Source organism: Homo sapiens, chromosome X, assembly GCF_000001405.40.
Source record: "Homo sapiens chromosome X, GRCh38.p14 Primary Assembly".
Lineage (NCBI taxonomy): Eukaryota > Metazoa > Chordata > Mammalia > Primates > Hominidae > Homo > Homo sapiens.
Window position 1 is genome coordinate 63,135,063 of NC_000023.11, and position 27,329 is coordinate 63,162,391.

General features: G+C 37.3%; 1 long non-coding RNA gene across 5 annotated transcripts; it reads left to right on the forward strand.

Moving 5' to 3' along the window:
• The first annotated feature begins 842 nt into the window (after positions 1-842).
• On the forward strand, positions 843-26,280 carry LOC105377211 (uncharacterized). 5 transcript variants are annotated; one of them, XR_938414.2, is made up of 4 exons: positions 843-1,711; positions 4,057-4,100; positions 4,828-4,894; positions 5,153-6,365. It is a non-coding gene; the product is annotated as an uncharacterized LOC105377211 (long non-coding RNA). The 5 variants fall into 5 exon arrangements; XR_007068250.1 differs by lacking the exon at positions 843-1,711 and adding exons at positions 19,995-20,153; positions 20,473-26,280 and having other exon boundaries at positions 3,819-4,894; positions 5,153-6,174; XR_001755863.2 differs by lacking the exon at positions 843-1,711 and having other exon boundaries at positions 3,799-4,184.
• The last annotated feature ends 1,049 nt before the right edge of the window (positions 26,281-27,329 follow it).

Sequence of the window (27,329 nt, forward strand, 5' to 3'; positions counted from 1 at the left end):
CCCTAGGTATGTAGCTGAATTGGGGTATTTTTCTTGGCTAAAGTTAAGACTAACAACAAGCTGGTCTTAATTTCTCCTTAACATTAGAGCACTCAGTAATCAGATAAATTGGGAGATCATTTGTTTTGCTTAATGGTTTCTTGTTGTTCTTTGTTTGTTTCTGTATTTGTTGTTGATTTGGTCTTTTTCCCATTGGGTTTGACCAACTCTATCCGACTTGATCAAATCCAAAGGAAAGTTCCAAATTATGGAGAACAAGGCCTCTGAAGTGGCTAAATTTCCACACACAAAAAATAAAAATAAAAAAGATGGGGAATGGGTTGGGAGAAAAACAGCAAACAACAAAAACGATTTTTTATTTTGACTACTTAACTGGCTTTATTTACATAATAAGCCCATCTTTTTGCTAGACAAACCAAACTGAAAGAGCAAGGGCTGTCACCCCATGCTGCAGTTTCATAGCTGAGGTTCTCCTTTCTTTCTTATTTTCCCTATGACAGCCTGAGTTTGCTTCCTAAATCAAGACCTTTGTGTTTTGATACTTGTTACCTCTGAAATATCAACAATCTGTCCTAGCTAAAATGTGGTAATGATGTCAGAGGTGTTTAAACCAGAGCAACTCCATCTAAAATGGGGGATGGGTAAAATACGACTGAGACCTACTGGGCTGAATTCCCAGGAGGTTAGGCATTCTAAGTCACAGGATGATCTAGTAGGTCAGCACAAGATACAGGTTATAAAGTCTTCCTTTGCTGATAAAACAGGTTGCAGCAAAAAAAGCCGGCCAAAACCCACCAAAGCCAATTTGGGGATGAAAGTGACCTCTGGTTGTCCTCACTGCTCATTATATGCTAATTATAATACATTAGCATGCTAAAAGCCACGCCCAACAGCACCATGACAGTTTACCAATGTCATGACAATGTCAGGAAGTCACTCTATATGGTCTAAAAAGGGGAGGAACCCTCAGTTCCTAGAAGCACACATCCCTTTCCCAGAAAGCTCATGAATAATCCAGCCCACGTTTAACATATAATTGAGAAATAACTAGAAGTATCCTTAATGGAGCAGTGCAAGCCACTGCTCTGCCTATGGAGTAGCCATTCTTTTATTCCCTCACTTTCTTAATACATTTGTGTTTACTTTATGGACTTGCCTTGATTTCTTTCTTGTGTGAGATCCAAGAACCCTCCCTTGGGGTCTGGATTCAGACTCCTTTCTGGTAACATCTTTCTGGCAAACCACTAAGGGATTATACTGAAATGACCCCCGACCCAAAGGAAAATCTTCTGTGTGCAGCACCACTTGGCCAACTTTGGGTAAGTGAGGCGCATTTAACTCGGTAAAGAATGGAATTGGGTTAGAGACCCAACTTAGAAAAGTTAGAGTCTGCCCTAAGATAGAGAGGGTTAAAGACCCCCTCTTAATAAAAGGCAAGGGTGCTTGACTGAACCTGTTTGGGGCCCAACTTAGGAAGGTTAGAGCCCTTCCTAAGATTTATGGGGTTGGAGGCCCCTCTCAGTAAAGTTCCTCTCGGCTAAAAGTGGGTTTGGCACTACTGGATGTTAACTGCTATTTTCTTTGGACTTATCTGCCTTGCACTCTTTGCTGATGGCTACGGGAGACAGAATTAAACATATTCAGGATCAAAGGACATGGCGAGCTATTTTTCCCCAAAAGGGAGACACTCGAGAGCTGATGGGACTTCTGGGTAAGATCCGTTTGTGACTGAAAAGCAGCTGCTTGAACTTTTGATTAAGTCTAACTGCAGTGGGTGGGTCTTTCTCTGGCCTCCCTGAGTTCCTCACCTTCCCCACTCTGCTTCAGGCAATGCTTTTCTCTCTTTCTCTTCTTTCCCTGTCCTATCTTTTCTGTCATTCAGGGGAACCTTCTTGCCCAGAGATCGCATGTTGAAAAATGTCCTTGGGAGCTTTGTCTTGGTCTCTGCCATATCTTGTATACATGTGGTGGTACTTTCTCTTGGTCTCTGCCATCCAGGGAAGAGGAATTTGGGGGTACATGTCATAGTTATCTCTGAAAATTAAATTGAGCAGTTAAAAGCCAATGCAATCTCAAAATTGACTGCTCTAGTCTCCTGGGAAGAGCAATAAAATATTTCCAATTCTGCAGCTTAGCAGCTAAGGCTTTGTGTTTTTCCAGTGGTGGCACAGGTTCAGGGTTCAATTCCTGGCTTAGGGAATAAGCCCTTTCTGGTTTGATATCTGCATGACATTTACCATTTGTTGATTATCTTCCCCTCCACAAACCATGTTGAATTTTTCTTTCTTTGAGGACAGAAATATTGGCCATTTGGCCTGGCTAAATTTGGGTAATAAGAAATTTAAAAGGATCTTTTTAAAAAGAGTATTACATTTAAAAGTCAGCCTAATTAAAAGAGGATATTCAAGCTCTAAAAGCCTGGGACTCCTTGTGAACAACAAGTAGTGCCACAGACCTTGTTTTGGGAAAAAACTCTTTTTTTTTTTTTTTCTCATGAAACCCCAGGAACCAGAAGTGGAGAGATCCCTTCACAATCTAAGGCTCTTTTCTCTTTTGCATTGCATTATCAGGTGTTTTTAACCCTTGGGGGGATCAGAAATTGCTCCACATTATAATAGAACTTTGGTGTGTAATAACTGGGTAGGAAATATGCTTTGGGGAATAGCTAATGACAGTTAAAGGTGAATACTTGGCTTTTCACATGTTTGGATCAGAGGAGCATGCTCTTGGCCACCTAGAAGGTATGGCAATGTGCTCATCCCTGCCCCACACTGAGACCTAAGACTCCCATGGAAGATGGGGTAATCACAGAGTAGGTTGAGTGGCTTTGAATTGCTTTGCAGTGAAATGCACAGTAAAATCATTGCACTGTCTTGTTCTGTAGCATTTGTCTTTTTTGGGATTTAAGATATGATATAAAATGGGACCCTTAAATTTTGGGGGATCTTTTTTGCTTTCCAGCTCTGCCTATTTATTAAGCCATAGAAACTGCATGTTTTCCTGGCCCTGTTCCTCCAAGGGCTCCACCCTGAAGCAGTAATCTGATTAAGAACCTGGCAAATAAAAAATCTTAAAACTACTGGAACATTTCTGTCTATGTATTTATATGTGTTGTGTGTGTGTGATATGAAAGAGCTTTGATTGTTTTCAAAAATCATAAGAGCTTAAATCTAACATTCTATCAGAAAATAAAAACGAATGAATGCCTTTTAGTCCATGTGACTTTAGTAAAGTTTCAGAAATAAAAACAGTTTTGAAGATCATTGGTAAAATTCAAATGTCTTCAAAATTCAGACATTTGGTCTGAAGTAGGTTAAATATTAAGTTTGCTAGATGTGTTAGGGTCATAAACGGCTTCTTTGATTTTTGAAAATTGTTCAACCTACTTACTTTGAAGCAGATTCTAGGTAAAGCCTGGGGATATGTGGTGTTAGCCATGCCTCCTAGTTATGCTGGATAGTCAAACCTTATCTGCACTTCTTTCTGTGTCCTAGGCTCCAAAGGTAGTACATAGTTAAAATCACCTACAATCCAGGTTTTTCCACCAATGGTTCCTAAGAGTTCTTTCTTTAGGCTGTATTTGTGAATATATGTTTTTGGTAGGTGTTCCAAAATTATTAGAAACTTCTGTAACTCTGATATAACTTAGTGTATGCTATTAATAGTTATAATAATTGTTATGTAAAATTGTTGTATGCCACAGAAGTCACCAAAATTCTTAGTCAATTGTGGCTTTAATAGAGACTGCCCTAAAGTGTTTTGTCATCCAGGGACAATTGTTGCCTTGTTTTTTTTTTTTTTTTTTTTTTTTTTTCTTTAGAGGTGGTTTCATAATCAGCTACAGAACTCTAATAGGTGTTCTTAAATGCAGGTTTCTGATAAATTTGGAGATTTTGATGTTAGAATAGAAGAAAAAACTTTCAGGATCTCCTGGAGTGCTGAAATGTTCACGAATATCAGGCAGAACAGGAGTTAACAACATGGACTGGACTAATAGAAGACTAAAGTAATCTTTTTGACTTTTTGCTTAAAAGGATCCTCTGTTTTGTTTTTCAGAGCCAATAAAACTTTTCTTTTGAGTGATTTGCAGCTTTTAACAAGTAAGTAAAATATACTCCTGTGAACAAAATTTGGAGCATATTTGTTTCTCTCTACCTGATTTCTCCAGAATTTGGAAACTATTTGTGAGTATTCTTAACTTATGACAATATAGTTATTTGCATAAGTGCAATAAGAATGTTTTCTTTTGTAACAGGACAAAATAAAAGAAACCAGTTATTTTACCAAGGCTTTGACTGGAATGGCATGCTTTCCTTTAAGGAATCGAATTTGGCTTACAGGGCCAATAAAAGCCCCTTGGGAAAACTGGCCTCATACCCTGTCTACACTGTCCCGTACAGGGTTCCTGACCTGTAGTAAATAAAGAATGTCACTTTCTAACAGGCCCAGGAGCCCTAGGTTATCTTGGGACCTCGAAAAAAGAGGAATTTACCTAACTGATAAATATTTGATAGTACAAACCTATGGCTAGGCTTGGCTTTGGAAAAAAACCTTATCTGAGATTCCTTTTGTGGAACAAAGTCCAATCAAAGCCAATTTAAAAAGCCTATGTGAAAAATGATTATTTTTGCTGTACTTTACACAAATAATCAGGCTAAGTGTAAGACTATGGCGTATTTTTGCAAACAAATCAGCCCTGTTAGGATTTGTCTTTAGTAAAAATGGGAGAATGGAGAGATAGAAAAAACATATTTTAAAAACAATGGTACACTTGTTATAAAATTGTGATCTCATCAGTTATTTTTGAGTTTTCTTTCTACGATTTAGACTGAACCTGCTTATTTCTGTGAACCAACCAGTGATCTCTTATGGCTGTTCAAAAGTAACAAGAGAGGTGGGTAATGTAAAAAATCTGGATCAATATTCTAATTCTGAGCACATATTGGAATGTATAGCATGTATAGCAACTCCATATCACTTTGGTTCCAAAGTCTCCCAGTTCATGAAAAGCCTTCTTATTTAGTTTACTTGGGATAATTTTACTTATTTTGTTTTACTGTTGTGAAATATAGTGCTGTCGTACTCTTTGCGTAGGAATGCAGGATAAGCTTACTGAATGTATTCTTAAATTGAACACTTATTAATCTTCCAGATATCACCTTTTGTCATAACTCAAGTCTTATGAATGGCCCTCACCATAATGATGCTTTTTGACTGAGCTCTTCTCTAACCTGAATGCAAGAGGTTAGGCATGAATATCATCCCCCCTGTTCAGCCTGAAGAAGTTACAGAAGATGAATCTTCCACTCTCTACAGCCCTTAGGATTAAGGGTTCTCTTACTGAATGTATTCTTAAACTGAACACTTATTAATCTTCCAGATATCACCTTTTGTCATAACTCAAGACTTATGAATGGCCCTCACCATAATGATGCTTTTTGACTGAGCTCTTCTCTAACCTGAATGCAAGAGGTTAGGCATGAATATCATCCCCCCTGTTCAGCCTGAAGAAGTTACAGAAGATGAATCTTCCTCTCTCTACAGCCCTTAGGATTAAGGGTTCTCTTACTGAATGTATTCTTAAACTGAACACTTATTAATCTTCCAGATATCACCTTTTGTCATAACTCAAGACTTATGAATGGCCCTCACCATAATGATGCTTTTTGACTGAGCTCTTCTCTAACCTGAATGCAAGAGGTTAGGCATGAATATCATCCCCCCTGTTCAGCCTGAAGAAGTTACAGAAGATGAATCTTCCTCTCTCTACAGCCCTTAGGATTAAGGGTTCTCTTATAAAAGGGAGGGGGTAAATATGTCAGAGGCATTTGAACCAGAGAAACTCCATCTTGAATAGTCCCTGTGTAAAATAAGACTGAGACCTACTGGGATGCATTCCCAGGAGGTTAGGCATTCTAATTCACAGGATGAGATAAGAAGTCTCCACAAGATACAGATTATAAAGATTTGGCTGATAAAACTGTTTGTGATAAAGAAGCTGGCCAAAACACACCAAAACCAAGATGCCAACAAAAGTGTCCTCTGGTTGTCCTCACTGCTCATTATATGCTAATTATAATGCATTAGCATGTTAAAAGACACTCCCACCAGTGCAATGACAATGTACAAATGCCTTGGCAACATCAAGAAGTTACCCTATATGGTTTAAAAATGGTAGGAACCCTCAGTTCTGGGAATTGCCCACCCCTTTTCTGGAAAACTCATGAATAATCCACCCCTTATTTAGCATATAATCAAGAAATAACTGGAAGTATCCTTAGTGAAGCAGGCCAAGCCACTACTCTTCCTATGGAGTAGACATTCTTTCATTAGTTAACTTTATTAATAAACTTGCTTTCACTTTATGGATTCACCTCAAATTATTTCTTGCATGAGATCCAAGAACCCTTTCTTGGGGTCTGGATCTGGACTCCTTTACAGTAACAATGAGATTTAAAAATATTATTTTAAGGAGCTCAATGGTTAAAAGTCAGCTTAATTAAAAGCTAACATCCAAGATGTGTGCATGTGTGTGTGTGTGTGTACATGTGCACGTGTGTGTATGTTTGCATTAAAAGACTTTATGGTTTTTTTTCTCTCCTAAGACCTTGTCTCCTCTGAGCAGAAGTTTATTATTTTTTTCTCAGTTTATTGAATTTCATTGTCTTCATTTAGTTCTGCTGTCTCTGCTTTCTCTTGCCTCCGTCTGCTGCATGAGGGGCCTAAAACAGCTTATAATAGCCCAGGATTCACTGAAGAAAACAGACAAAGCACCAGACTCTTTTCTGGGGAGAAACTTGTTTTTCTTTATGGAACCCCGAGAGTGGGTAAAGAGAAAAGTTTGTCTCAGATCATAAAGTACTTGCTTTTGCATTGTGTTACCAGATTTTTTGACTAAAATAGTTATTGTAACGGAGGCTATTCTTGGGTACTTAAGAAAGAGGATAGTTTAGACATTTAGAACGGTCTTTGTTAATGTTTTTAAAAGTGCACTGTAAAAGCATCATGTGGTCTAGCCTCATAATAATTCTCCCTGTCTGGAGACCCAGGATTCAGTATGGGCCCTATCCAGAGCTCAGAGATACAGTTAAAAGATAGGTAGTCTCTATCTAAATACAACCGGTCTCCCCTTACAGTCCTATGACGGATTTCTATAATTTTTATTTGGCATCCATTTTTAATCTCCCTCTAGCACCAGACTACTTCTCTCTGTACTATGAGATGTAAATGTCATTACCATATTTTTTTTAACGTAAGATTTCCTTTAATATGCAAGCTTAGGACTATCTAGCAGACAATTGCCTAGGGTAATAAAATAGTTTATTAAGACTGTGTAACAGCTCCCCAGTTCCAGGCAGTGCAGCTCAGGGATAAAATTTTTCCACTTTAGAAAATGAGAGGGAAGAGTACAGAGAAATTCATCTTGCAACTCGGGTACCAGTTTAGTCACACTGAAATAAAGCACCAAGCAGATTACTGAAGCTCTAGATTCCAGGCCTTAGCTACTGGACAGCATTTCTAGACCCACTCTGGACCAAAAGAAAATCCACCGTTCTGAAAGAAATTAAAAAAAAAATAAAACTTAGTTCTGACAGAGTTCACCACATTCAGACATAAGAGCTTCTGGGCCTTGAATAACCATAAGCAGTAGCCAGGCAGTCATTGCCATGAGCCTTGGGTGCAATCCAACAGTGTACTGGCTTCAAGTGTCATCCAGTGCAGTGCTACCTGCGGTGGCCATGGGATGGCTTGTGGCACTCCTCCAAAAACTTCAGGCAGCCCAGCATGTAGAGAGAGAGAGAGAGAGAGAGAGAGAGAGGGAGAGGGAGAGAGAGAGAGAGAGAGAGAGAGAGAGGGAGAGAGAGAGAGAGAGAGAGAGAGAGAGAGACTCCTTTTGATTAGGACAAAGAGAGGGAAGAGAGTGAGATAATTTTTCTGGTAACCCGGGAAATTTTCCCTTAACTTAACCAACACCACCAACATGGTGCTTCAAGGAGTCAGCAAGAGCTGCGCTGTTACTGAATTTAGAACTTAGTGTGCCTTACAATCCTGATATGGCTGCAGTGACCACAAAGTTAAATTACCACTCTAAATACCCTTTGAATATGTAAACAGCCTTCTCGAGAAGTATGGGTAAAAATAAGTGCAGAATACTAAGATTAGAGTACATACCTAACTCTTCAATGAGCAGACACTGAAAAATATCCACAAGCATCAAGAACATACAGAAAAACATGACCTCACCAAATGAACTAAGTAAGGCACCAGTGACCAACTATGAAGTGTCAGATATATGTGACCATTCAGACAGAGAGTTCAAAATACCTGCCTTGATGAAGCTCAACAAACTTTAAGATAATACAGACAATAGAGTCACAATTTTATTAGATGAATTGTAAAAAGAGACTGAGAAACTATGAAAAATCTAGCAGAAATGCTGGAGCTGAAAAGTACAATTAACATACTGAAAAAAATGCATTAGACCCTAGCAACAGCAGAATTGATAAAGCAGAAAAAAAATAGTAAGCTTAGAGACAGGCTATATGAAAATACACAGAAGAGAAAAAATAATTTAAAAATTAAAGCATGACTATGAGATATAGAAAATACCTGCAAAGGGGCAAATCTAAGAGTTCTTAGCCTTGAACAAGACGTAGGGAGAAAGGGGATAAAGTTTATTCAAAGATATAGTAACAGACAATTATCCAAACCTAAAGAATCATAGGAATACCGAGGTACGAGAAGGTCCTAGAACACCAAGTGGATTAAAGCCAAATGAAACATCTCCAGGCATTTAATAAATTCTCAAAAGTCAAAGATAAAGAGAGGATACTAGAAGCACCAAGAGAAAAATAAACAAATAGCACATAAAGGAGCTCCAATATGTATGGCAGCAGACTTCTCAGCAGAATTCTTATAGACCAGGGGAGAGTGAGATAGCATATCCAAAATGCTGAAGAAAAACAAATCCCAACATGGAATATCGTATTCAGCAAAATTATCCTTCAACTATGAAGAAGAAATAAACACTTTCCCAGACAAACAAAAGCTGAGAGATCATGTCTACATCAGACCTGTCCTACAAGAAATGGTAAAGAGAGTGCTTCAATCAGAAAGAAAAGGCAGTTACAAAATGACAAAGAAATTATCTGAAGATATAAAACCTGTCAGTAATAGCAAGTACACAGAAAAGTACACAATACTATAACACTGCAATTGCAGTGTCTTAGCCACTCATATCTTTAGCAGGAAGACAAATAAACTGCCAAAACTGATAGTGACAAACATCTTTCAATAGATAGACAATATAAAAAGATACAGAGACAGACAAAGTCATAAATCAGAGGAAATGAAGTTAAAGTGTAGAATGTTTTCATAGTTTTCTCTTTGCTTATTTGTTTTGCTCTTTTTGGCAATCAGAGTTGTCATCAGTTTAAAAATGGGTTATAAGATGTTATTCATCAGCTTCATGGCAACCACAAACAAACCCCTATAACATAGATTTAAATATTGAAAATCAAGAAATCAAAACAAGCTACTAGATAAAATCCTTTTTTACACAAAGGAAGACAAGAAAAAAGAGAGCACCACCGACAACGGAAAAAAAAAAAAAAAGTAAAAAAGTGGCAGTACTACTCTTTACCAATGAATAATCAGGTTAAATTTACACTAAATTATTCAGTAAAAGTTAAGAACAGCTGAATGGATAAAAAACAAGATTCAGCTATATGCGGCCCACAAGAAAGTGGCTATACCTGTGAAGATATGCATAGATTAAAAATAAAGGAATAGAAATGGTTATTCCATGGAAATCAGAATCAAATAACACTAGGAGTAGTGCACTTATATCAGGTAAAATAGATTTCAAGACAAAAACTACACAAAGAGACAAAGAAGATCATTACATGATGATAAAGTGGTCAAATCAGGAAGAGAATATAACCGTTGTATGGAACCCCGATATATAAAGAAAATACTATTAAAAAAGAGAGAGACAATGGTAGCAGGTGACCTAAACACCTCATTTTAATCATTGCACAGATCAACCAGACAGAAACTCAACAAAGAAAGGTTCAACTTAATCGTCACTCTAGATCAGGTGAACCTAATATACATTTATAGAACATTTCATGCAACAGCTGCAGAATACACATACTTCTCATCAGCACATGGAATATTCTCCAGGATAGACCAAATATTACTCCACAAAGCAAGTCTCAAAAAATTCAAAAAAATTCTGAGCAAGCAGCCTGACTAGATGCAGCTGAGAAGTCCTGCTCCCACGGAAAGAAAATATGATTTCAACTACACCAACATAAATTGAACAGATCTTTGGACAGAAAATGCCAAATGTGGACGGAGAAGAGAAGCAGATGCTGAGGCTGTAAAGGGAGGAAACTGGGAACACGGCACGGAGTACCTGAACACCAAGTCTGGTTCCCAGCCCCGGACAGTGCCTGGGAAAGGGGACTTCCCCTTAAAGGAGCCCCCCCCCCATGGCCCAAAAGACCCGACAACAACATCAATAACAACAAAATTGTGGGCACAGTGCCAGTGATTGTAGGTGGCTCCTGAAAGGCCCAGGAGCAGGTCTGGCGAGAGGGTTAACTATCTTCCCCTCGCACCTCACAACAGAACTGCAAGCACAAGGATGCACAAAGAAACCACGCAACTAACAGCCTACCTACCGCCCATTGCTCTCAAGCGCCATCTACTGGAACACAGACAAAACTACAAGAGCAAAAAACTACTCGCTGTGAAACCGAAGGGGCAAGAATTCAACAACGAACACCCCGTGCAGAGACTTGGTCCTCTGAAAACTTCCAGAAACAAAGCCAACTAGCCATACTCAATTTACATCACAGTTAAAAATATGAGCCTCCCAAGATGAGGAAGAATAAATGCAAGAACTCTGAGAATGCAAAAAGCCAGAGTGTCGAGCATTCTTATACACGAATAACAGACAAACAGAGAGCCAAATCATGAGTGAACTCCCATTCACAATTGCTACAAAGAGAATAAAATACCTAGGAATCCAACTTACAAGGGATGTGAAGGACCTCTTCAAGGAGAACTACAAACCACTGCTCAATGAAATAAAAGAGGATAGAAACAAATGGAAGAACATTCCATGCTCATGGGTAGGAAGAATCAATATCGTGAAAATGGCCATACTGCCCAAGGTAATTTAATAGATTCAATACCGTCCCCATCAAGCTACCAATGACTTTCTTCACAAAATTGGAAAAAACTACTTTAAAGCTCATGTGGAACCAAACAAGAGCCCGCGTCGCCAAGTCAATCCTAAGCCAAAAGAACAAAGCTGGAGGCATCACGCTACCTGACTTCAAACTATACTACAAGGCTGCAGTAACCAAAACAGCATGGTACTGGTACCAAAACAGAGATACAGAACATATGGAACAGAACAGAGCCCTCAGAAATAAAGCCGCATATCTACAACCATCTGACCTTTGACAAACCTGACAAAAACAAGCAATGGGGAAAGGAGTCCCTATTTAGTAAATGGTGCTAGGAAAACTGGCTAGCCATATGTAGGAAGCTGAAACTGGATCCCTTCCTTACACGTTACACAAAAATTAATTCAAGATGAATTAAAGACATAAATGTTAGACCTGAAACCATAAAAACCCTAGAAGTAAACCTAGGCAACACCATTCAGGACATAGGCATGGGCAAGGACTTCATGTCTAAAACAGCAAAAGCAAAGGCAACGAAAGCCAAAATTGACAAATGGGATCTAATTAAACTAAAGAGCTTCTGCACAGCAAAAGAAACTACCATCAGAGTGAACAGGCAACCTACAGAACGGGAGAAAATGTTCGCAACCCACTCATCTGACAAAGGTCTAATATCCAGAATCTACAATGAACTCAAACAAATTTACAAGAAAAAAACAAACAACCCCATCAAAAAGTGGGCAAAGGATATGAACAGACACTTCTCCGAAGAAGACATTTATGCAGCCAAAAAACACATGAAAAAATGCTCATCATCACTGGCCATCAGAGAAATGCAAATCAAAACCACAATGAGATACCATCTCACACCAGTTAGAATGGCGATCATTAAAAAGTCAGGAAACAACAGGTGGTGGAGAGGATGTGGAGAAATAGGAACACTTTTACACTGTTGGTGGGACTGTAAACTAGTTCAACCATTGTGGAAGTCAGTGTGGCGATTCCTCAGGGATCTAGAACTAGAAATACCATTTGACCCAGCAATGCCATTACTGGGTATATAACCAAAGGATTATAAATCATGCTGCCATAAAGACACATGCACATGTATGTTTATTGCGGCACTATTCACAATAGCAAAGACTTGGAACCAACCCAAATGTCCAACAATGATAGACTGGATTAAGAATATGTGGCACATATACACCATGGAATACTATGCAGCCATAAAAAATGAAGAGTTCATGTCCTTTGTAGGGACATGGATGAAACTGGAAACCATCATTCTCAGCAAACTATCGCAAGGACAAAAAACCAAACACTGCATGTTCTCACTCATAGGAGGGAATTGAACAATGAGAACACATGGACACAGGAAGGGGAACATCACACTCCGGGGACTGTTGTGGGGTGGGGGCAGGGTGGAGGGATAGCATTAGGAGATATACCTAATGCTAAATGACGAGTTGATGGGTGCAGCACACCAACATGGCACATGTATACATATGTAACAAACCTGCACATTGTGCACATGTACCCTAAAACTTAAAGTATAATAATAATAAAATTAAAATGAGACCAGTAATGGCTCTTAACCAGTCTGAAATAAATGAAATGACAGACATGGAATTATCTGGATGGCAAGGCCGCTCTTCAAGATTCAGTATAAAGCTGAAACCCAATCTAAGAAAACCAAGTAATCCAGTGAAATGATTCAAGAGCTGAAAGACAAAATAGCCATTTTAAGCCAATCCCAGGCTAGACTTCTTGAGTTGAAAGGATTCACTGCAAGAATTTTATAACACAATCAGAAGTATTAATACCAGAATAAACCAAGCTGAGAAAGAAATCTCAGAGCTTGAAAACCAGTTCTTCAAATCAACTTAGTCAAAAACAAATAAATAATTAAAGAGAAAAAAACTAACAAAAATGAACAAAACCTCTGAGAAATATGGAATTATGTGAAGAGACTCAATCGATGATTAATCAGCATCCCTGAGATAGGAGAGAGAATAAACATCTTGGAAAATATATTTGAAGTTATAGTCTATGAAAATTATCTTCCTCTCACTAGAGAGGTTTACATGCAAATCCAAGAAATACAGAGAACTCCAGGCAGATACTATACAAGACAACCATCCCCAAGGCACATGGTAATCAGGTTCACCAAGGTCAATGCCAAAGAAAAAAATTAAAGGCAGCTAGAGAGAAGGGGCTGGTCACCTACAGAGGGAACCCCATCAGGCTAGCAGTAGACCTCTCAGTAGAAACCTTGCAATACAGAAGAGATTGGGCGCATATTTTGAACATCTCCAAGGAAAAAAAAAATCAACCAATGATTTTATATTTTGTCAAACTACACTTCCTAAGTGAAGGAGAAATAAAATCCTTTTCATTCAAGCAAATGTTGGGGGAATACATTTCAACCAGATCAGCATTACAAGAGGCCCTTAAGGGAGTGCAAAACGTGGATTCGAAAGAACAATACCTGTTACCACAAAAGCACACTTCAGCACATAGCACACAGACACTGTAAAGCAACTACGTCATCAAGTCTACATAACGGCCAGCTAAGAAAATGACGAGATGATCAAAATCACATATATCAACAGTAACCTTGAATGTAAAAGGGCCAGATATCCCACTTAAAAGACACAGCATGGAAGGCTGGATTAAAAAAAAAAAACAAAACTCAATCATTTGTTGTCCTCGTGAGACCTATCTCACATGTAGAAACACGTAAAGGCTCAATGTAAAAAGGGAGAGTAATATCTGCCATGCAAATGCAAAATTAAAAGAGCAGGAGTCGCTGTTCTTATATCAGATAAAACAGACTTTAAACCAATAAAAGATAAGAAGAGTAAAGAAGGACATTACATAATGATAAAGACTACAATCCAACAAGAAGCTTCAACTATCATCCTAAATATATACATACCCAACATTAGAGCACGCAGTTTCATATAACAAGTTCTTCTTGGCCTACAAAAAGACTTATACAACCACACAATAGTAGTGAAGGACTTCAACATCCCACTGACAGCAGTAGGCATATCATCAAGGTAGGAAATGGTAAACTCTGGACTTGAACCAGTCACCTGACTAATTGACCTAATAGACATCTGCAGAACATTCATCCAACAATAAAAAAAAAAATACATTCTTCCCATCTGCACATAAAATACTTTCTAAGATTGACCACATGTTCAGTCATAAAGAAAGCCTCAATAAATTCAAAAATTTTGAAATCATACCAAGCATACTTTCAGACCACAGTGCAATAAAAATAGAAATCAAAGTCAAGAAGACCTCTCAAAACTACATGCACACCTGAAAATAAAACAACTTACTCTTGAACAGCATCAAAATTATGGCAGAAATTTAACAAAAATTAAATTAATAAAAACAGGAACACAACTTATTGAAATCTCTGGGATGCAGCCAAATCAGTGTTTGTTAAGAGCAAAATGTATAGATCTAAACGTCTTCATCAAAATGTTAGAAATGTTTCAAGTTATCAATCTAACTTTTCACATAAAGGAACTAGAAAGGAAAGAACAAACCAACCCAAAATCCAGCAGAAAATTAAAAGAAAAAACTAAAATTAGAGAATAACAGAGCCAACGACAAAAACCACATGATTATCTCAATAGATGCAGAAAAGGCCTTTGACAAAATTCAACAACCTTCATGCTAAAAACTCTCAATAAATTAGGTATTGATGGGACTTATCTCAAAATAATAAGAGCTATCTATGACAAACGCACAGCCAATATCATACTGAATGGTCAAAAACTGGAAGCATTCCCTTTGAAAACTGGAACAAGACCGGGATGCCCTCTCTCACCACTCCTATTCAACACTGTGTTGGAATTTCTGGCCAGGGCAATCAGGCAGGAGAAGGAAATAAAGGGTATTCAATTAGGAAAAGAAGAAGTCAAATTGTCCCTGTTTGCAGATGACATGATTGTATATCTAGAAAACCCCATCATCTCAGCCCAAAATCTCCTTAAGCTGATAGGCAACTTCAGCAAACTCTCAGGATACAAAATCAATGTGCAAAAATCACAAGCATTCTTATACACAAATAACAGACAAACAGAGAGCCAAAACATGAGTGAACTCCCATTCACAATCGCTTCAAAGAGAATAAAATACCTAGGAATCCAACTTACAAGGGATGTGAAGGACCCCTTCAAGGAGAACTACAAACCACTGCTCAGTGAAATAAAAGAGGATACAAACAAATGGAAGAACATTCCATGCTCACGGGTAGGAAAAATCAATATCGTGAAAATGGCCATACTGCCCAAGGTAATTTATAGATTCAATGCCTTCCCCATCAAGCTACCAATGACTTTCTTCACAGAATTGGAAAAAAAAAAACTACTTTAAAGTTCATATGGAACCAAAAAAGAGCCCGCATCGCCAAGTCAATCCTAAGCCAAAAGAACAAAGCTGGAGGCATCACGCTACCTGACTTCAAACTCTACTGCAAGGCTACAGTAACCAAAACAGCATGGTACTGGTACCAAAACAGAGATATAGACGAATGGAACAGAACAGAGCCCTCATAAATAATGCCACATATCTGCAACCATCTGATCTTTGACAAACCTGACAAAAACAAGCAATGGGGAAAGGAGTCCCTATTTAATAAATGGTGCTGGGAAAACTGGCTAGCCATATGTAGAAAGCTGAAACTGGATCCCTTCCTTACACATTATGCAAAAATTAATTCAAGATGGATTAAAGACATAAATGTTAGACCTGAAACCATAAAAACCCTAGAAGTAAACCTAGGCAACACCATTCAGGACATAGGCATGGGCAAGGACTTCATGTCTAAAACAGCAAAAGCAATGGCAACGAAAGCCAAAATTGACAAATGGGATCTAATGAAACTAAAGAGCTTCTGCACAGCAAAAGAAACCACCATCAGAGTGAACAGGCAACCCACAGAATGGGAGAAAAGTTTTGCAATCTACTCATCTGACAAAGGGCTGATATCCAGAATCTACAATGAACTCAAACAAATTTACAAGAAAAAAACAAACAACCCCATCAAAAAGTGGGCGAAGGATATGAACAGACACTTCTCAAAAGAAGACATTTATGCAGCCAAAAGACACATGAAAAAATGCTCATCATCACTGGCCATCAGAGAAATGCAAATCAAAACCACAATGAGATACCATCTCACACCAGTTAGAATGGCGATCATTAAAAAGTCAGGAAACAACAGGTGCTGGAGAGGATGTGGAGAAATAGGAACACTTTTACACTGTTGGTGGGACTGTAAACTAGTTCAACCATGGTGGAAGACAGTGTGGCGATTCCTCAGGGATCTAGAACTAGAAATACCATTTGACCCAGCAATGCCATTACTGGGTATATACCCAAAGGATTATAAATCATGCTGCCATAAAGACACATGCACACGTATGTTTATTGCGGCCCTATTCACAACAGCAAAGACTTGGAACCAACCCAAATGTCCAACAATGATAGACTGGATTAAGAAAATGTGGCACATATACACCACACCGTGGAACACTATGCAGCCATAAAAAATGATGAGTTCCTTTCCTTTGTAGGGACATGGATGAAGCTGGAAACCATCATTCTCAGCAAACTATTGCAAGGACAAACTGCCACATGTTCTCACTCATAGGTGGGAATTGAACAGTGAGAACACATGGACACCCGAAGGGGAACATCACACACCAGAGCCTGTTGTGGGGAGGGGGGAGGGTGGAGGGACAGCATTAGGAGATATGCCTAATGTTAAATGACGAGTTAATGGGTGCAGCACACCAACATGGCACATGTATACGTATGTAACTAACCTGCACGTTGTGCACATGTACCCTAAAACTTAAAGTATAATAAAAAAAATAAAAAAGAATAACTTAATAAATTTGAATTGCAAAAATCTATACAAACTATCAGTGAAACCAAGAATTGGATCTTCAGAAAAATAGATACGATTGATAGACCCTTTCTTAGGTTAACAAAGAAAAAGAGGGATACCAGACATGCGAAGAAGAACTGGTACTAACCCTGCTGAAACTATCTCAAAAATTTGAGAAAGAAGGGCTCCTTTTTAACTTATTCTATGAAATGAGCATCAGACCTGTATCATAATCTGACAGAGACACGCACACACACAAAAGAAATCTCAGACCAATATTCATTGTGAACATAGATGTAAAAATGCTCAACAAAATAATACCAAACCAAATCCAGCAGCAGAGCAACACCTCAAAAAGTTAGTACACCATAATCAAGTAAGCATTATTCCTGGGATGAAAGGATGATTCAACTTATGCAAATTATAAATGTGCTTTAGCACATAAACAGAATTTAAAGCAAAGACAATGTGATCATTGAAATAGATGCAGTAAAAGCTTTCAATAAAATTCAATATCTGTTCATGATAAAAAAAAAAAACCTCAACAGACTAGGCATCAAGGGAATATACCTCAAAATAATAAAAGCTGTCTCTGACAAACCCATAGCCAACATTATATGAGTGAGAAAAGGCTGGAACAATTCTCCTTGAGAAGTGGAACAAGACAAAGATATCTACTCACACTACTCCTATTCAGTACTGGAAGCCCTAGCCAGAGCAATCAGAAAAGAGAAAGAAATAAAAGGCATCCAAATAGGAAAAGAAAAAGTCCAACCATCTCTCTTCCCTGACAATATGATTCCATACGTAGAAAATCCTAAAGGCTATGCCAAAAGGTTCCTAGAACTGATCAGCTACTTCTGTAAAGATTCAGGATACAAAACCAATGTACAAAAATATCAGTAGCATTTTTACCAACAACACGTAGGCTGAGAGTGAAATCAAAAACGGAAGTTCCCTTATAGTAGGCTCAGAGAAAACAGAGTACCTAGGAATACAGTTAACCAAGAAGGTGAAAGATTACCATAAGAATAACTACAAAACACTATTTTAAAAAATCAGAGATGACAGAAACAAAACAAAACAAAAATATATGCTCATGGACTGGAAGAATCAATATCATTAAAATGTCAACATGACACAGAGTAATTTACAAATTCAATGCTATTTCTATCAAATGACCAATGTCATTCTCCACAGAATTAGAAAAACTTTTTCTAACATTCAGACAGAACCAAAAAAGACCTTAAATAGCCAAAGACATCTTAAGCAAAAGAACAAAGCCGGATGCATCACACTACCTGACCTCAAATGATACTACAAAGTTACAGTAATGTAAACAGCATGGTTCTGGTACAAAATCAGACACATAGACTAATGGAAAGAAAAGAACAGAAAATTTAGAAATAAAATGAAACACCTACTGCCGTGTGATCTTCAAGAAGGATGATAAAAACAAGCAATGGGAAAACGACTCTTTATTCAGGAAATGGTGCTGAGATAACTGACTAGCCACAGGCAGGTAAAGCTGGACCCTTGCTTTTCACCATATACAAAAGTTAACTCAAGATGAGTTAAAGATTTAAATGTAGGACCTCAAACTACAGAAGTCCTAGGAGACAACCCAGGCAATACTCTTCTTGACATTGGCTTTGGCAAAGAATTTTTGGCCAAGTCCCCAAAAGCAGTTGCAACAATAACAGAAACAGATATATGAGACCTAATTAAAATAAAGAGCTTATACACAGCAAAAGAAACTATCAACACAGTAAACAGACAACATACAGAATGGGAGAAAACATCCACAAACTATGCATTCTACGATGGCCTAATATCTAGAATCTATAGAGAACTTTAAAAAAATCATTAAGAAGAAACAAATAACTCCATTAAAAATTGGCAATGACAGCGACACTATTCACAATAGCAAAGACTTGGAACCAACCCAAATGTCCATCAATGATAGACTGGATTAAGAAAATGTGGCACATATACACCATGGAATTCTATGCAGCCATAAAAAAGGATGAGTTCATGTCCTTTGTAGGGACATGGATGAAGCTGGAAACCATCATTCTCAGCAAACTATCACAAGGACAGAAAACTAAACACCACATGTTCTCACTCATAGGTGGGAATTGAACAATGAGAACACTTGGACACAGGAAGGGGAACATCACACACCGGGGCCTGTTGTGGGGTGGGGGGAGGGGAGAGGGATAGCATTAGGAGATATACCTAATGTAAATAACGAGTTAATGGGTGCAGCACACCAACATGGCATATGTATACATATGTAACAAACCTCCACGTTGTGCACGTGTACCCTAGAACTTAAAGTATAATAAAAAAAAATTGGCAATGACATTGAACAGACACTTCTCAGAAGAAGACATATAAGCAACAAAAACTCATGGAAAATGCTCAGCATCACTAATCATCAGAGAAATGCAAATGAAAACCAAATTGAGACAACATCTCACACGAGTCTGAATGGGTATTAAAAAGTCAAAAAACAATAGATGCTGGTGAGGCTGCAGAGAAAAGGGAACACTTATGCATTCCTGGTGGAAATGTAAGTTAGTAGAGCCACTGTGGAAAACACTCTGGAGATTTCTCAAACATCTCAATACGGAGTTACCCTTTGATGCAGCAGTTCAATTACTGGCTATGTACCCAAAGGAAAATAAATCATTCTACCAGAAAGGCATATGCACTCTTATGTTCATTGCTGTGCTATTCACAGTAGCAAAGACATGGAATCAACCCAGATGACAATCAACGGTAGATTGGATAAGGAAAATGTGGTACATATATATACCATGGAATACTATGCAGCCATAAAAATGTAATAAAATCTTTTTTCTTTTTCTTTTTAGCAGCAACATGGATGCAGGGGGAGGCCATAATCATAAGGGAGTTAACACAAGAAGAAACAACAAAATTCCACATGTTTTCATGGATAAGTGGGAGCTTAACACTGAGCATGGGAACATGAACATGAACACGAGAAATATAGACACTGTGGACTCCTAGAGGTAGGTGGTAGGGAATGGAATGTTGGTTGAAAAACTACTTATTGAACGTTAGGCTCACTACCTGGGTCCAAAATTGCCATGTAACAATCCTACACATGTAACCCCTGTATCTCCCTGTATCTTAAACAAAAGTTGAAATTCGGAAAAGAAACTGCCTTCACGGTATCCCTTATGTGTTGCTATATCGTGTTTTCAGTTTCATTTGTCTCAAGATATTTCATGATTTCCCTTTTTTGATCCATTGCTTATTCATGTGTGTGTTGTTTTGTTTCCACATATTTGTGTATTTTCCAATTGTCCTGTTGTTATTAATTTCTAGATCCATCTTATTCTGATTGAAAAAGAGGTTTGCTATTATTTCAATCTTCTTAAATTTGTTAAGACTTGGTTTGTGGTGTAACATGTAACTTGTCCTGGAGAATGTTCCAGGTGTGCTTGAAAAGGATGTCTATTCTGCAAAATGGATATGCAAAAATGGCTAGCATTCCTATACACCAACAATAGGCAAGCAGGGAGCCAAATCATGATTGAACTCCCATTCACAATTTCTACACAAAGACGGAAATACCTAGAAACACAGCTAACAAGGGAAATGAAGGACCTCTTTAAGGAGAACCACAAACCACTTCTCAAAGGAATCAGAGAGAACACAAAAAAAATAGAAAAGCATTCCATGCTCATGGCCAGGAAGAATCAATATCATAAAAACGGCCATACTGCCCAAAGTAATTTCTAGATTCAATGCTATTTCCATTAAACTACCATTGACAGACTTCACAGAAATAGAGAAAAAAAAAAAAAAAACGACTTTAAAATTCATAGGGAACCAAAAAAGAGCCCGAATAGCCAAGACAATCCTAAGCAAAAAGACCAAAGCTGCTACCTGACTTTAAACTATACTACAAGACTGCAGTAAACAAAACCACATGGTACTGGTACAAGGACAGACACACAGACCAATGGAACAGAATAGAGAATGCAGAAATAAGACCACACACCTACAACCAACTGATCTTCGACAAACCTGACAAAAATTAGCAATGGGGAAAGAATTCCTTATTTAATAAATGATGCTGAAAGAACTGGCTAGCCATAGGCAGAAAACTGAAACTGGACCCCTTCCCCACACCATATGCAAAAATTAACTCAAGACGGATTAAAGACTTAAACGTAAAACCCAGAACTATAAAAACCCTAGAAGAAAATCTAGATAATACCATCCAGGACATAGGCATGGGCAAAGATTTAATGATGAAAACACCCAAAGCAATTGCAACAAAAGCAAAAACTGACAAATGGGATCTAAATAAACTAAAGAGCTTCTGCACAGCAAAAGAAACTATCATCAGAGTGAACAGACAACCTACAGGATGGGAGAAATGCTTTTTCAATCTATCCATCTAGCAACGGTCTAACATCCAGAGTCTGCAAGGAACGTAAGCAAATTTACAAGAAAAGATATAACCATTAAAACGTGGGCAAAGGACATGAACAGACACTTCTCAAAAGAAGACATACATGCAGCCAACAAACATATGAAAAAATGCTGAACATCACTGATCATCAGAGAAATGCAAATAAAAACCACAATGAGATAGCACGTCACACCAGTCAGAATGGCTATTATTAAAAAGTCAAGAAACAACAGATGCTGTCAAGGTTGCAGAGAAAAAGGAACGCTTTTACACTGTTGGTAGGAGCGTAAAGTAGTTCAACCATCGTGGAAGACAGCATGGCGATTCCTCAAAAGACCTCCAGGGAGAAATACCATTTGACCCAGCAATCCCATTACTGAGTATATACCCAAAGGAATATAAATAATTTTATTATAAAGATACATGCAATGTGTGAGTTCATTACAGCTCTATTCAAAATAGCAAAGATATGGAATCTACCTAAATGCCCATCCGTGGTAGACTGGAGAAAGAAAATGTGGTACATATACACCATGGGATACTATGCAGCCATAAAAAGGAACAAGATCATGTCCTTTGCAAGGACATGGGTGGAGCTGGAAGCAATTAGGCTCAGCAAACTAATGCAGAAACAGAAAACCAAACAACGCATGTTCTCACTTACAAGGGGGAGCTGAATGATGAGAACACATTTACACATGGAGGGAACAACACACACTGTGGCCTGTCAGGACGGTGGGGTCAGGGAGAGCATCAGGAAGAATAGCTAATGGACACTGGGCTTAATACCTAGGTTATGAGGTGATCGGTGCAGCAAACCACCACGGCACACGTTTACCTACGTAACAAACCTGCACATCCTGCACACGTGAACTTAAAATAAAAGTTGAAGACAAAAACAAAAAAAAAGAAGAAGAAGAAGAAAAGAGTGTGTATTCTGGGACTGTTGGTTGCAGTGTTCTGCGTATATCTAAGTTCATCTGTTTATAATGTTGTTCAAGTTTGTTATTTCCTCATCAATTTTCTGTATGCATGTCCTATGCATTGTTAAAAGTGCAGTATTAAAATCTCCTATGATTATTAAATTGCTGTATATTTTTACCTCTCAGTTATTCACTGTATGCTTTATATATTTATGTTCTCTGATGTTTGGTATGTATGTGTTTATAATTATTATATCTCGTTGGTGAGTAGGTTCTTTAATTTTATACCATATACATAAATCAACTTAAAATAGATTAAAGATTTAAGTATAAGACCTGAAACTGTTCAACTCTTAAACAAGAGTATAGATAAAAACTCGCTGACATTAACCTGGGCAATGATTTTTTTGATATGTCACTAAAATCAAAGGCAACAAAAGCAAAAAGATACAAGTGGTATTACATCAAACTGGAGAGCCTCTACACAGCAGAGAAAACAATCAACAAAATAAAATACAGCCTATTGAAAGGGAGAAATGTTTATAAATGCTATATCTGTTACTGCGTTAGTATAAAAATATATAACAAATTCCTGCAACTCAATAGCACAAATCAAACAACACAATTTAAAAAATCATCAAAGGACTTGAATAGACACTTCTCCAATGAATACATACAAGCAGCCAACAAGTATATGAAAAGGTGTTCCACATCACTAACCTGAGAAATGCAAATCAAACCATGGTGAGATGTCACTTCACACTAGTTAGGATGGCTACTATGAAAAAGACGGGAGATAACAAGTTACGAAGAAAATGTTAAATAATGGGACCCCTTGTACTCTGTTGGTGGGAATGTAAAATGGTGCAGCTGCTATGGAAAATAGTATGGAGGTTCTGCAAAAGATTAAAAATAGGACTACTATATGACCCAGCAATTCCACTGCTGTGCATATACCCCGCAAAATAGAAATCAAAATCCTGAAGAGAAATTTGTACTCCCATGTTCATTACAACATCATTCACGGTAGCCAACATATAGAAACAATCCAAGTAGCCATTGACTGATGAATAGTGAAACAAATGTGGTATATACAAAATAGAATGTTATTCAGACTTCACAAAGGAGAGTATCATGCCGTAAACAACAACATAGATAATCATAAAGGATATTATGCTAAGGGAAATAAGCCAGTTAGAGAAAGATAAACACTGCATGACTGTCCTTGTATATCTGAAATATTAAAAATTAAAGAAGCAGAGAATAGAATGGTGATTTCAAGGGGCTAGTGGCATTAAAAATGGGAGGTTGTTGTTTACCAGGTTTAAAATTTTTGTTATGCAGGATAAATAACTCCTAGAGATTTGCTGTACAACCCAGTAACAGTAGTTACCAGTATTGTATTGTACAATTAAAAATTTGTTAAATGGAACTTCTTATGTTAAGTGGACTTACCACAATAAGAATATATGGTACAAATATTGAGCTCCGTGTAATAGATTTGTTCTGTATAGATTTATGGGTTAGAAATTTCAAAATTATTTAATGTGTATTGAAATTGTATTTTGTTGATAATTGAAACCAAATTTTCTATTCTTAGAGAAGTGAATTACAAATGTGGTAAAGGAAATGCGAAAATGAGCCCGGTGGTGTTGGACTAGAATTATAGATGTTAGTATGAACAAACAAACATGTAGCTTATGTTCTATCTCTATCTCTATCTATCATCTATCTATCTATATCTATCTATCTATCTATCTATCTATCTATCTATCTATCTATCTATCAATCTATCATCTATAGATATTATGCACACGCTTCTATGTGTTTTTGTGTGTATGTGTGTAAAAATTATCTAATTTTTATTTCTGTATCTATATTTCTCTATCTATACATTATTATATATAATCTTCTATGTTTGCATTCTTGCCCCCTGAGAGGAGTAAGTAGAAGCATGGACACCTCAACAGCAATAAGCACATCTAGCACAAAGATCTTGGCTTCCATTTACTGTTATCTACTCAATGGAACCAGAGCTCCTTGGAGAAATGGCTAACTCTATGTTTAGTACAGAGAAAATACAAGATGAACCAGACATATATTTTTGTGCCATTAATTAAGGAAGTTTCAAAGACTGATAAGTACACACAAAGAACACGGAAGACAGTTTGAACAGGATTTCCCTTACCAAATCAGGGACATATCCGTGTATTCATACTTAGATAGATAAATGAATAAATAAGTACTGGAAACATCAAAGGTCATTTTTACAATATAATTGCAAGTAAATGTAGAAGAAAATGTTGATATGAAAAAAAATCACAAGTTGGCCACCACCATAAAGCTATTTATTTCTGATGAAAATCATCAATAAATACTAGAATTATTGGGTGAAAGTATGGTGAGACTAGAGATATTTACATATTCTCACATTATATCTCCCTAAAAGTATTTATTAATTACAAAGGAAAACACAGTAACTTGGCAGTGGACAAATCTAGCAGATATCACCTTAGCCAAGCGATCAAATTTAATATCAAGATTTAATGGTGCAAATAGTTATTCTTTGCTTCCTGTTATGACGTACTGAGAATAACATAGTAACAATGGTGTGCTAATCCTTCCTAAACTGTACAATATCGAGTGAATTAATAGGAAAAAAACCAGCAAAAAGCACAAATTGAAGGACAGTCTACAAAATACTGGCCTTTATATTTTAAGTATTAAAGTAATAAAAAACAAATGTTAAACAACCAATCCACATCAAGAGAGACTAAAGAGACATTACAACTAAATGTGGTACCTGATAATGTATCAGATCCTGGACCAGAAAAAGGAATATATTTATTTGGCTTTAAATGACATTAGTGGGATAGATGGTGAAATTCAAATGAGGATTTTAGATTATCAGGGTAGGAGTACTTCTTCTTAAATTGCCAGAGAGTAAATATTTTAGACTTTCTGGGTCATGGGATCACTGTTGAAACCACTGAACTCTGTCCTTGTAAAACAAAAACAGCTGTAGACAAGAGGTAAGCCAGTAGGCTTGGCATTGCTCCAACACAATTTTATTTACAAAAACAGGCAGTTGTCCCACGGGTTTTAGTTTACTAACACCTAAATTAGATAACAGGACTACATTAATGTTAGCATACTCATTTTCAAAATTCTTATCCTGAGAGTGTGCATATCTTGCTTTTAAGATTATATATTAATGGTAAGAATATATGCACATATATATGTGTGAGTGTATTTCTGAAATATACATATATACATAACAAAACAGATGTACTATGTTATGTTTTAAAATGTAATGTATTAATAGAAAATTTCAGGTATAGTGAGTAAGTCGAACATACAAGGAGATGATTGCCATTAATAAGATAGTTTACTAGCTACAGTTCCCACAAGGAAGGGGCACACCGTGCCACGGGAGGCCAAATAAAAAAGCACTAGGGTCTGCCAGAAGGTAGAGGAAGAGGAGAGAATTGTGGTCAAGAACCTCTGTTGTTGTTCTTATGGGAAGAAATTGGTGAGCCTATTTAAGCTGGTTTACAAGTGTCTGGTTTTAATAATTTCAAGAATACCTTGCATTGGCAGTGATTAAGGCAGAGGGATAGTGGCCCAGAGATAAAAGACCAAAAAAGGAAGTGGTTAACCGTGTATCCTCTGTATTGATTGACTTGTATTTGAAAAGCACACTGTCAGATTAGTTATTTTCTTGCTCTAGGAAATGGCTAACCCTGGGATGAGCAGTCCCTCCAGGGTCAGCAGGGCCCCAGATCTCAATACATCAGAAAAGAGAAAATTAAAAAATATATATATTTTATATATATATGTATATATATATGTATATGTGTATATATATACATATATATACATATATATACATATATATGTATATACATATATATATACATATATATACATATATATGTATATACATATATATACATATATATACATATATATGTATATACATATATATACATATATATGTATATACATATATATACATAGATATGCATATATATACCCACATATATATGCATATATATATATACACACACACACACACATATATATATATATATATATATATATGCTTAATACAAGTAGCCCTATGTTGCTTTGACATAATATTATGGAACATTTGAAATGACAACAGGGGAGAAATTTAGTGAATAGTGCATACGTTTCTCTAAACAACGCAGAAAACATTTTATTATGAGAGTAAAAATGAGAAACTCAAGACAAAGTATAAAGAGTCTTAGGCTAGCTCATAGATAAGATTATTGTTTATATGGCATTAGCCAAGAAAATTGATCTAAATTTTTTGAAACAAAAGGGGGTTTCAAGATGACTGACTAGAAATATTTTATGCCTACCTCTTTCACTTGGATGAACCAGAGTAGTGCATAGACAGTAACACTTCCTAGAGAAAATGCTGGAATTCAACATAGAAGTGACAGGGGGCACTAAAAACAGGAAAGGAGAAGGAGGAGAGGCAGCCTCCCTGGCCAGGATTGGCCAAGAGCCAGTACTGACTCCCCAGTGCAGGGGAGGGATGAGTAAGAGACTGCCAGTGTCCCATGACCCCACCATAGAAGTGTGCAATCCTGGCCACTTGAAAAATGCTTAACCTTCTCGAACCTGGAAACTAACAGAGAAAGTTGCCAGGAGACTGTGGGGACAGAACTGCTCCAGGGAGGGAGTTCATGCTGACACCCTTTCTGAGATCTAAGTTGATAGAAAGGTGCCATTTTCAAAACTAGCCTCCAGCAAACTGCATGCTTTTCTGAGACCCAGAGGCACCAGGACTAGACGTTCCGGAAACT